This window comes from Homo sapiens, chromosome 2, assembly GCF_000001405.40.
Source record: "Homo sapiens chromosome 2, GRCh38.p14 Primary Assembly".
Lineage (NCBI taxonomy): Eukaryota > Metazoa > Chordata > Mammalia > Primates > Hominidae > Homo > Homo sapiens.
In genome coordinates this window covers 27,923,256-27,936,084 of record NC_000002.12, presented here as the reverse complement: position 1 = coordinate 27,936,084, position 12,829 = coordinate 27,923,256, and the positions used below count along the sequence as shown (strand labels likewise).

General features: G+C 39.0%; 1 protein-coding gene across 14 annotated transcripts in view; it reads right to left on the bottom strand.

Annotated features, from left to right (window-relative positions):
- BABAM2 (BRISC and BRCA1 A complex member 2) overlaps positions 1-12,829 on the bottom strand; it is a 450,193-nt gene that overhangs the window by 402,817 nt on the left and 34,547 nt on the right. For all 14 annotated transcript variants that reach the window (NR_137438.2, NR_137440.2, NR_137439.2 and 11 more), the window contains one exon: positions 6,177-6,253. Coding sequence is in view for 10 of the 14 variants with exons in the window: in NM_001329112.1 (NP_001316041.1) it covers positions 6,177-6,253 (77 nt within the window). In the remaining 4 variants the exon portion in view is untranslated. The remainder of the gene's footprint in view (positions 1-6,176; positions 6,254-12,829) is intronic.

Sequence of the window (12,829 nt, the reverse complement as noted above, 5' to 3'; positions counted from 1 at the left end):
AACTGGGTCATGGTGGTGTGCACCTGTAATCCCAGCTACTTAGGAGGCTGAGGCAGAAGAATCGCCTGAACCTGGGAAACAGAAGTTGTAGTGAGCTAAGATCGCACCACTGCACTTCAGCCTGGGAGACAGAGCAAGACCCTGTCTCAAAACAAAAATACCAAAAAATAAAAATACAAATAAGAATAAAATACTGAATTGCTAAAAAATGCTAACAATGATGTCAGCCTCCACCAAGTCACAATCTCTTTGCTACTGCAGGGTCCTGCCTTGATGCTGATGGCTCCTGACTGATTACAGTGGTAGTTGCTGAAGGGCGGCATGGCTATGGCAATTTCTTAAAATAAGACAACAATGAAGTCTGCCACATTAATCGACTTTTCCCTTCAGGAAAAATTTCTCTATAGCACAAGATACTGTCCGATAGAATTGTACTCAACAGTAGAACTTCTTTCAAAACTGGAGTCAATCCTCTCAAACCCTGGCGAAGCTTTATCAACTAAGTTTATGAAATATTCTAAAGCCTTTGTTGTCATTTCAACAATGTTCATAGCATCTTAACCAGAAGTAGATTCGATCTCAAGAAACTACTTTCTTTGCTTATCTGCAAGAAGCAACCTTCTTCATCAGTAAAAGTTTTACCATGGCATTGTAGCAATTCAGTCACATTCTCAGGATCCACTTCTAATTCTAGTTCTCTTGCTATTTCCAACACATCTCAAGTGACAAAGTGCACTGTCAATGAGCAATAATATTTTGAAAGGAATCATTTTTTCTGAGCAGTAGTTCTCAACAGTGGCTTTCAGTAAACCGTGCTGTAAACAGATGATTGTTATTCTACTGTAGAACACAGGCGGAGTTAGATTTAGCATAATTCTTATGGGCCTTAGGATTTTCAGAATGATAAATGATCCTTGGCTTCAAATTAGTCACTAGCTGCCTTTGTCCCTAATCAGAAAGTCAGTCTATCCTTTGAGGCCAGGCATTGCCTTCTTAACTATGACAGTCCTAGACGGCATCTTCTTCCAACATAAGCCTGTTCCATCTACACTAAAAATCTGTTGCTAAGTGTAGCACTTCATCAATGATCTTAGCTAGATCTGAATTACTTACTGCATCTTCTGTATGAGCACTTGCTGCTTCACCTTGCACTTCTGTGTGATAGAAATGGCCTCTTTTCTTAAATCTCATGAACCAACTTCTGCTAGCTTCAAATTTTCTTCTGCAACTTCTTCACTTCTCTCAATCTTAGAATTGAAGAGAATTAGGACTTGTTCTTGATTAGGCTTTGGCTTAAGGGAATCTTGTGGCTGGTTTGATCTTTCATTCAAACAAAACCTTCTCCATATCAGCAATAATTTTTTCACAGTCTTATAATTCATGTGTTTACTAGAGTAGCACTTCTAATTTCCTTCAAGAAATTTTTCTTTGCATTCACAACGTGGTTAACTGTTTGGCCAAGAGGCCTAGCTTTCAGCCTGTCTCAGCTTTCAACATGCCTTCCTCACTAAACTTCATCATTTCTAGCTTTTGATTTAAAGTGAGAGGTGTGGGACTCTTCACTTGAACACTTAGAGGACACTGCAAGGTTACTAACTGGCCTAATTTCAATACTGCTGTGTCTCAGGGAATAAGGAGGCCCAAGAAGAGGGAGAAAGGAAAAAGGACGATCAGTACAGCAATCAGAACATACACATTTATTGATTAAATTCACTATCTTATATGGGTATGTATGTTATGGCATCTCAACACAATGACAATAGTAACATTCAAGAGTCAACAATCACAGATCACCATAACAGAATAATAATGAAAAAGTATGTGGAAACGCTTCATGATTTAGAAAGCAAAAATTTTTAAGTTTAAAAAAATAATAATTAAAAAGTTTGAAATGGTACAAAAATTACCAAAATGTGACACAAAGGCATGAAATAAGCACACGCTTTGGGGAAATGGCCCTGATAAACTTGCTCAACACAGGATTGCCACAAACCATCAATCAATTTCAAAGAAAAAAAAAAATCCTTGTTGAAGCACAATAAAATGAGGTTTGCCTGTACACAGGAAGATGGGCATAGGTTATATGTGAATACTATGCCCTTTTATATCAGGGACTTGCACAGGACATCTTGGAACCAATCCCCCATGGATATTGAGGGATAACTGTATTATTAAAAGGACAAAAGATCTGGGCATGGTGGTGTGTGCCTGTAGTCTCAGCTACTTAGGCTGACGCAGGAAGAACACTTGAGCCCAGGAGTTCAAGTCCAGCCTGGGCAACATAGCAAGACTGTCTCAAAAAAAAAAAAAAAAAAAAAAACAAGCCAGGCATAGTGGCTCACGCCTGTAATCCCAGCATTTTGGGAGGCTGAAGCAGGCAGATGATGAGGTCAAGAGATCGAGACCATCCTGGCCAACATGGTGAAACCCTGTCTCTAAAATACAAAAATTATCCGGGCGTGGTGGTGGGCACCTGTAGTTCCAACTACTCCGGAGGCTGAGGCAGGAGAATTGCTTGAACCCGGGAGGTGGAGGTTGCAGTGAGCCAAGATCACATATGTGTGTGTATATATATGTGTATGTTATATATATACATATATACATACATATATATGTGTTTTTTAAAAAAAAAACTCATCTTTCTAATTCTATGAACTTTTATAAATATAGTTTCCATGATCAATTACCTTTTCCTTTTATTTGGCTGTGAGCTGCTTAACACTAGAATCTTGACTCATTTTAGCATAAGAATTGCCATTATACAATGTTCACTTATTATTTATTTATTATAGAGCATACTGTGGGCTAAATTAAGTCCCCAATGTATAATGACGATATCCAACAATAATTTGCTAGAATATAATTATGTTATATGATGAGTGACAGTCCTAATACACTAATCACAAATGTTATTAAAGGTTTCCCATGAAGAGCTTATAGTAATGAGAGGATATAGGGTAACAGCAAATGCTTCCTAACATAAACCCATGCTACTAGAAAGATGCCTGTGAAGTCACATTATTTTTGTCTCAAGACTGTGGACTGACCACACACACTCATTTCTTCTCTAAGACCCCCTCCAATCCCGTTAAATGATAGTGAATACAGAAAGATAAAATCCCAAACAACAGGAAGATGAAGAGGAAGGGAGGAGAGTAGTTAATCAGTAGATGAGAAAGTTTAGCAAATTGCTAGAGACAGAATGCAGATGGAAGTGTAGTACTTGACAAGATAGGGCAGAGGAAAGCTTTGACCTGTAATAATGTGAGGAAGAGGCTACTGATGAGGAGGAAGCCATCTGTCCTAGTAAACCCATAAAAGTTTCTAGTTATCCAGTGTAAGGGGAGGCAAGAATGAGACACAGGGCTAAGAACAGGAAGAGTAAGCAAAAGCTCCTCACGGAATAGTCTATATACGTACCCCCTGAAAATGACAGGGTGATCAGGTATGTATGCCCAGGTATTCAATGAAGAAATAGAACAAACTATTTGAGGAGAGCTAGAGCAGTTGACTCACATCTGGCCCATCATTCATCCACACATTCCATAAGCCTTGCTCACCTACTCAGAAGTCCCAATCACTATTTTATTGTCTATCTTAAACAGAAATGAATACCTTTTATTTGAAGAAAAACTATAGCATAAAAGAGGGAAAAAATATGATAAACAAAAATATAATCCCTAGGGAAAATTAAAATAATTCAGATAACAGAAGAAAACATTTTTTTTGAATCTCTAAATTTTATTCTTTGAAGGAATTTAAAGGACCTATATTCATAAAATAAGAACAAGATGCTGAGAATGAGAAACAGTGCAAGAAAGAGTTCCTAGAAATTAAGATACCTAATTGTGACTGTAGTAATAAAAAATTATCGGATGGGCTAAAGGAAAACAGAAGGGTAGAAAGAGGAATAGAATCTGAGCAAGTTATTTGAGAATGGGTGCCAGCAAGATAAGTAGGTAACCTGTTTATCAAGAAATCATTCTACAAAACATAGAATCTACGATACATAGATTCTACAAAACAAGGTCAAATTCAAAAAAGTAATAAAGGCAAATCTCACAGTGATAATTATGCAGGAACAGGCCTCCAGAGCAATCGTTCAAGCAATTTATAGGCAAGGCACAGAAGACAACTACAGATTTAGAACGGACAGTAAGTTAACAATCTTGAAAATGCAAAAGGAAAATAACCAAAGACAAAAGCTGGGAGGTGAAGGAAGAGGAATTGAAGGAAGGGCAGGGGCTAATATATTCATCTCATAAAATGCAGAGGCAAAAGACACAGTATCTATGGTTAATGTAAAACTAAAGAATATACTACCCTAAGTATTCACCATTCTTGCTTAGAGATTGTCCTTAAGTAATAACGAAGCTAACTGTGTACCAGGTACCAGGTACTTACTAAGAATTCTTAGGGGTTATTCATTAACTGTGTAATACAATGTCTAAAGTGATCCATTAAAAAAAGTAAGTAAAAATTTTTAAGCTACAGGGTAACCAACACAGGAACCAATAATGGTGATATAACTACATTAAGAAGGAAAAGAAAACAGAGTTAAGGGGCATAGGGAAAACAGGCTGATGCTTCATGTATCAGCGCAGGAAGTCAAAAGATAACAATGTCTAAAACTGATAAGGCAAGAAACGGAGGCAAAAGTATATTATTTAAAGATATGGAGATCATCCCCAGAGAGCTAAACTGAAAATTTTTAGAATCTGCAAGTGATTCTCTCAGGAAACTGGACTGGGAGAGAAGACTACTGGTTTCATGTATCAAAAAATTCCAGTACTTTTACGTTTTTAACCACATGAATTATTTACTTTGATCATTTCTTTTAAATTTAGTTAATAATTTTTTCAAAAAAAAAGTAGTCGAATCTGTCCTACTACTTCAGACAGGTAAAATTATTTTATATTTTAATGGTTTCCAGAAAATGGTCTAATAATGCAAGGCTGACAAGTCAGCATGTCCAACATTTCTCATTTAATCTTGCATTTGATAAATTAGTATCAAGTGATTCTACAGAATATAGTACTAAGAATACAAAATACTATACAGAGACATGGCCCCTCCTGGCATGTAATGGTAAAACACACTGGTCCAATGGTCAAAAAGCGGTTTACCCATCTGTTCCATGTTTAATATCCATGTACTTTATTTTTCTTTTTAGGAATAGGAAAAACCTTAATAGGCTGTTCACCACAAGAATAGGTTCAAGAGAGAAAATTCCTGGTGAGATTACCAACACTAACCAACCAAAGCCACTGTGATTTCCACACTAGGCTAGAGGTTCAGTATTGGTAATAGTGACAGAGAAAAGCTGATACAGTCTAGAGGGCTGCTGTAGCTGATGGGCTAAGTCCAATGACAGATCTTCCATACTATCCATCCAAGATCAATAACTTATGGTCCAGGAACTCAAGCCAGCCCACAGACACATTCAGTTTAGCCTGCATAATATTGGCCAACTCCATGTTTTTAATTTTGAAAAAGTAGCAACATCTAAAACTGACAGAATTCAGGTAAAACTTCAGACGTCCACCTTCTCTCAATAAATCAGTAAAGGTAACTCCCCTTAAGTGACAGGGCGTCCCAGTTTGCCACACCTAGCCTGTTTCCCTCACTATATTACCAATCTAGCCCTTGTAGACCGTTTGTATCTCTGATCCTTGCTATAAAGGAGATAACATGTTGATATGCCTAAGCCATGCCAAGAGTTTTTGAGGTAGGACTCTTACACTTCGGTAACAACAGGAGATAAATCAGTGACAAGTCGTGGCGCAGCGGTTCCACAGGGGGGTTAGCAGCAGTGATGGACAGCAGCCACTCCTACCTAAAAACTGTTTCGAAATGGCCAGGTATTCTAAAGCAGTGGACTCTTTATTGAGTATTACGTAAAAGCCGCCTATAGAGAAAAAAACACATAAAAATTACCGGGCATGCCTAAATATTAGGAATTTCTGTGCATGCCTATTTAACCACAACGTATTCCCTGCCAACTGCCTTACTTTTAATCAAACTAGAATTGAATGGCAGATAAGAAAAGTGGTAAATGCTAGTGAACAATATCTTAGGAGATAACAACTAACAGCCGGAAATGAAAACTAAAGCACAAAGTCCAATAGCTGACACTGTAACCTACATTTTGAGTAAAATAGTCATCATTTACTTACACTTTAATGTCTCTCCAGCATATGGTATGTGCAGTTTAAATCGGTCACAGTTGGGCCCAGGAGTCAATGATGTGCAGCTTTAAAAAATGCAGAAACAGAAGAAAGAAAAGATTTTTTAAAAACAAACTTTAAAAACCCACATGTTTATGATACTAAACAAAACAGGATCTTTATACAAAACAGATTAAAACACTGGCTTACAGAACAAAATAAAAGCCTTTAATAGTCATGGAAGCCAAGACATGAAGACTCGTCCTAAAACAAATAATTCATTTATTTCACAATAAAACTTACATGTGTTCTAACGACAAACATCAACAGTGTGCTTCAACTACTTTTCTCAAAGAGGCATATCTCGACTTTTAAAATTAGGTATATTATCCAAAACACATGTCTATTCTTATGCCAAGAACTGTAAAATAAGAATAGTTTTATGATCATATTTTAAATATGGACTCTTAGCTTTCATTCTGTTAGTACAAAAAAGAGCCCACTTTTAGCCTTTTTCTGGTACCAGATGGTTTTCTTTCCTTCCACAAAGGTTCAGTGCTTCCTTTAGATTTGGCACACCATAACTTTCATCTGCAGGAAAGCACAATGCATACTCAATTTCAAGTAAAATGCAAATTTAAAAGGTGGGGGGTAGTTATCCAGGTCTCAACAGTTTGGTATTTTCTTTTTGTTTTGTTTTTCAAGACAAGGTCTCACTCTGTAGCCCAGGCTGGAGTGCATTGGTGCAATCTCTGCTCACTGCAGCCTCAATCTCTCAGGCTCAAGCTCCTCCCACTTCAGCTTCCCAAGCAGCTGGGACCACAGGTGCACACCACCACACCTGGCTTTTTTTTTTTTTTTTTTTTAAGAGAGGAGGTCTCACTATGTTACCCAGGGTGGTCTCGAACTCCTGGGCTCAAGTGATCCTCCTCCCACCTAGCCTCCCAAAGTGTCAGGATCACAGGCATGAGCCACTGCACCTGGCCTGGTTTTTTTTTTTTTAATCTATTATTTCACAAAGTTATACAATGTTTCTTGCTCTTCACAGATCTGCTGTACAAGATAATTTTTATCTTAGAAGTCATAAGTTCAACTGCATAACAGCTGCATGGGCTTCATAAGTTAATAAAATATTAATATGAAGTCAATTGAGAAAGTAATATGTCTTCATTTTGTTTTAAAAAGATGAGAGTTTTAATTTACAAACGAAAGCAAGGAGGCTAATTTTCTTTCATAATTCCAAAACTGGCTGTGAAGCAATTCTAAAAAAGAACCTATAAAAGTAATTTAACGGATGGATGCATAGTTGAAATAAATGTACAACTTCCCTACATGGCAACTTGGAAGGGCAAGAGTCATTTAAAAATAAATTCAAAAAATTTTGGCTTTAAGTAACTCAGACCCCACGTTAAAGATTTACTATTACTTTTCCCCAAAACGATTTGAATGTGAAAAAGAACCAGACAGTGGCCAGGCGCAGTGGCTCACACCTATAATCCCAGCACTTTGGGAGGCCAAGGCAGGCAAATCACTGGAGGTCAGGAGTTCAAGACCAGCCTGGCCAACATGGTGAAACCCCATCTTTACTAAAAATTCAAAAATTAGGCCAGGCGCGGTGGCTCACATCTGTAATCCCAGCCCTTTGGGAGGCTGAGGCAGGCGGATCACGAGGTCACGAGATGGAGACCATCCTGGCCAACATGGTGAAACCCTGTCTCCACTAAAAATACAAAAATTAGCTGGGCATGGTGGCACGCACCTGTAGTCTCAGCTACTCACTTGGGAGGCTAACTCAGGCGAATTGCTTGAACACGGGAGGCGGAGGTTGCAGTGAGCCGAGATCCTGCCACTGCACTCCAGCCTGGGCACAGAGCAAGACTCCATCTCAAAAAATAAAAAATAAAAAAATAACCAGGCATGGTGGCAGGCACCTGTAATCCCAGCTACTCAGAAGGCTGAGGCAGGAGAATCGTTTGAACCTGGGAGGTGGAGGCTGCAGTGAGCCAAGACTGCACCACTTTGCTCCAGCCTGGGTGACAGAGTGAGACTCTGTATCAAAAAAGAAAAAAAAAAAAAAAACAGAAACTTTAACAAGGGTATGTTTAACATAAATCACTAAGTTGATTATTCCTCATTATCTTCAGGGGTCAATAAAAATACCAGTTTATAAACTAAACAACTAAGTTGCACCAGTAATTGAATGGTAACAAATTTTTATATTTCACAGGTTTTAAGAATACTTTCTCATTTTCCTTTCAATATAAAAAAAATTTCTCAGAGTACATTTTAGAGGCATCATATTTCCCTTTTAGTGTAATCTTTTCTACCCCACAACACAGTAGTTATTTTAAAAGACTACAGAAAACACATAAATTCTAGCATTATGAAGTACAATCTAATGACGGTAATGAGCATCATGTCATTATGAGCATGCTGTTATGAGCCCTATAACCAACACTAAGATTTTTCCTTTTCTATTGCATTCAACTGCAATGCTTTAAATTTATGAAAAACACCATTCACAATCAAGGATCTTTTTGGGGCTTGGGGATCAAATTATCTAACTATGCAGCTTAAAGACTGAAGTTATTCGAAGTACAGGAAATCGTCAGGATTAACCTGATTCCAGTTTGTTTGAATAACTCACTCCTTCTTCAATGACAAATTGTTTTTTTCCCGAATGGTTACACTCATTATTGGGCCACACTTTTTATTATATACTTTAACCAGAACTGGTTAAGTGTTTTTGTGCCCTGCCATGTCACCTTCCTCCCTTACTACATCAACAGCTGGTTCCAGCAACCTCAGTGTATTAAAAGGTACATTTCTAAGGGGGATAGGAAGAGATTTGTTAAAGGATACAAAATTATAGCAAGATAAGAGGAATACATTCTGGTGTACTATACCACTGTAGATGACTAGAGTTAACAATAATAAATAGTTTCAAATAGCTAGAAGGAGGATATTGACTGTTTCCATCACAAATAAATGATAAATGTTTGAGATGAGGATATGCTAATTACCCTGATCTTATTACTATACACTATATGTAACAAAACATCATTATATACCCCATAAATATGTACAATTCCTATGTGTTGACTAACAAATTATAGTTTTATGAAAAAAAAAATATTTCTCTATCTCTGTGTTTCATTCACTGATTTTTTTCATTTAGATAAGATTTATCAAGCATTGCTCTAGGTGTTAGGATTATAGGACTGACGAGACAGAGAAGATCTACCGTCTCATGGTACTTAAATTCTAGTGAGGGAAGAAGAAAACGATAAACAAGAGACAAACACATAAAGATGGTTTAGGATTGCTAAATGCTATGAGGAAAATAAAACAGGGTGCTGCACTGAAGCAAGAGCTACTTTACACTGGAAGATCAAAGAGGACCTCTGGAGGAGGTGAAATCCGAAAACTGAATAACACAAAGGGGCCCACCATGCCAAGTTCTGGGAAAGAGCATTCCAGGCAGAGCAAACAGCTGGTGCAAAGGTGTGAAGGCAGGAACAAGCTTGGTACATCTGGGGAAGAAATCTTGATATATCTGGGCAATGCGGCTGGAGCACAGTAAATGAGGGAGAGAAGAACAAAAGATTAGGACACAGTAAATGAGGGAGAGAAGGGCAAAAGATTAGGACACAGTAAATGAGGGAGAGAGGGGCAAAAGGAAGGGACAGATCACACTGGACCTGCAAGTGGTTGCAATTCATTCAGCTTTTATGCCAAGCACAAAGCAGGGTTTTTAGCAGAAGAGTAAAAACATCTATGTTTTTAAAAGACCACTTTGCCTACTGTACAGAAAAAAAAAAAAAGACCACAAGAGATAAAATGAACATAGCCAGACCAGGGAGGAGACCATTTTAGTCAACAAAGATGATGGTGCAAAACCAACATGCATTTGTAGATGGTATCACCTACTTCTCTGCTATCTACAGAGATCCTTGCCTGTCCATTTTCTAGCTCTGGTGCAGTAATAATGCTGCTGCTTCAGTAAACATTCACTTCACAGTCTTCAGTGAGGAGACAGTGTTCTGTGATGTGGGAGTTGAGCAGAGTGTAGCCCACCTGGCAGATAAGGCCCACACTCAGGCGCATGAGAGCAAGAATGGCGCTGGAAAGGAACGAACAGGGTCACAGAGGGCAGAGACCATTCCCCTCAGCCTCTCACCTTCAGTCATGGAGAGGAGTGTTTCAGGGTGTGGTTATCTACCTGGAATGGGATGAGGAGCTCTGCTGCCCAAAGTCTCTACTATTTAAGGAAAGACATCGCTACATAGCTGGCTATAAGGAACAGGGATTGCAAACCTCTAAGGGTTGTAGGAAGGCCAGGGCAGCTGGGAGCAATGTGGATGAGTCTTGTGTTTACCCCCCAGGGATGCTTACTGGTCTCACCAGGTTTCTCAGTCTTCACTGGGACTGAAAACCCAATGCAGGTAGGATAATAATAATAATAATAACCACTTTAGATCTGAAAAAAGAAAGAAAGATGATGGATCCTTGGACTAGGGTAACAGCAGTGGAGATGAGACAAATGGATTTATTGAATAAGACTTCTAGGAAAGGAGCATGTTTAGGGAAAAGGAAATGGAGAGTTCAAAGTGTGAGATAATAACCAAATCTTCTATGGAAACAGTCAGGCTAATGGGTGGGCTAGCCAATCTATAAGGGCCACTAAAACATCACAGAAAAGATAGAAGAAAAATTTACAAAACCTCACCTTTGTGTTTTATGATATTGGAAAGATCACTTACTTTCCAATATCATAAGTGGGAATGGGGGACAGGGGTATGAAGAGTAATACTTCCCAAAAGCACACTCAAGTCAAAATTATAATCTCCAGTTAGGTGCAGGGATTCTGCTTTGCTGAGAGGAATCTACAAATGTGAGGCCAAGAGCCAAAGTGCTCAAGGGAACAGAGGAAAGCTGCCATTAGTAGGTCTCTTTCTCCTAAGTGGCACTCAGCTTGTCTTCCAATGAAATGTTGGGCAAATCATTTAAGATATGTTACATTCTATCTTCCTTATATTATCTAGGATAAATAGGTGTATAGGAAACAAGCCAGTGCCATGTACCTCAAGTTTCTTCTAAGATTAAACTGTTTCCTCTTCTTAAGTTACCTCTGTCTAAAATTGGTTTGGTCATGTTCTTTAATTTACTGTGAAAATTCAAGTTGCACAAGAGGAGGGTGCTCGTTTTTCTGTTAATCAAAAAAGAGCATAGGGGCAGGGCACAGTGGCTCACGCCTGTAATCCCAACAACTCTGGGAGGCTGAGGCAGGCAGATCACCTGAGGTCAGGAGTTCAAGACCAGCGGGGCCAACATGGTGAAACCCCATCTTTAGTAAAAATACAAAAATTAGCCAGGTGTGGTGTGCATGCCTGTAGTCCCAGCTACTAGGGAGGCTGAGGAAGGAGAATCGCTTGAGCCCAAGATACAGAGGTTGCAGTGAGCTGAGATCATGCCTCTGCACTCCAGCCTGGGCAACAGAGCGAGACTCTGCCTAAAAAAAAAAAGAGCATGGGTTTAAAAGAGCTTTCCTCTGTTGCCTTGAGGAGTTTGACTCTTGGCCCCAAATCTGTATATTCCTCTCAGCAAAACAGAAGGCCTGCAGCTAACTGGAGATTACCATTTTGACTTGATTGTGCTTTTGGGGAGTATTACCCACTCCCATCCCCACTTCAAGTAAGTGATCTTTCCAATGTCATATAGCACTAAGGGGAGTTTTGGTAAATTCTAAACCCATGGTAATGTTTAAAAAGCTTTAAAAATACATGGAAATAGTATGATTCCACTTATGGAAAAAGGACACTTGAAAGTATGTATATCTACACACATAGACAGATTTCAGAAGGAGAGTAACCAAAATGTGGCCGGATTTGAAATGATTTTTACAAGATTCTTCTAATTACTTTTCTGCATTTTTTTTTAAATTTTTTGAAACACGGTCTTGCTGTCACCCAAGCTGGAGTACAGTGGTGAAATCACAGCTCACTGAAGCTTCAAACTCCCGAGCTCAGGCGATCCTCCCACATCAGCCTCCCAGGTAGCTGGGACCACAGGCACATGCCACCACACTTGGCTAATTTTTTGTATTTTTAATAGAGGCAAGGTTTCACCATGTTGCCCAGGCTGGTCTCAAACTCCTGGAATTAAGTGATCCTCCTGCCTCAGCCTCCCAAAGAGCTGGGATTATAGGCATGAGCCACTGCACCCATCTGCTTTCTGCATTGTTTTGATTTTTATAATGAACATGAACTATGAACTATTTTACTATTATAATTTTTTTAGGAGACAGTGTCTTGCTCTAGAGCCCAGGCTGGAGTGCAGTGGCACAATTATAACTCACTGCAGCCTTGAACATCTGGGCTCAAGGAATCCTCCCACCTCAGTCTCCCAAGTAGCTGGGACTACAGGTGCACCACCACACTCAGCTAAATTTTTTTTTTTCTTTTTGAGACAGGGTCTCAGGGCTTTGCCCAGGCTGGTCTCGAATTCCTGACCTCAAGCAATCTTCCCGCCTCAGCCTCCCAAAGTCTGGGATTATAGGCATGAGCCACGGTTTTACACAATTATAAAATCTTTTAAGGCTAAATACAACCCTTTTCTATTTGACTAGGAAAACTTGGCTATGATGGCCTGATTTTATCTTT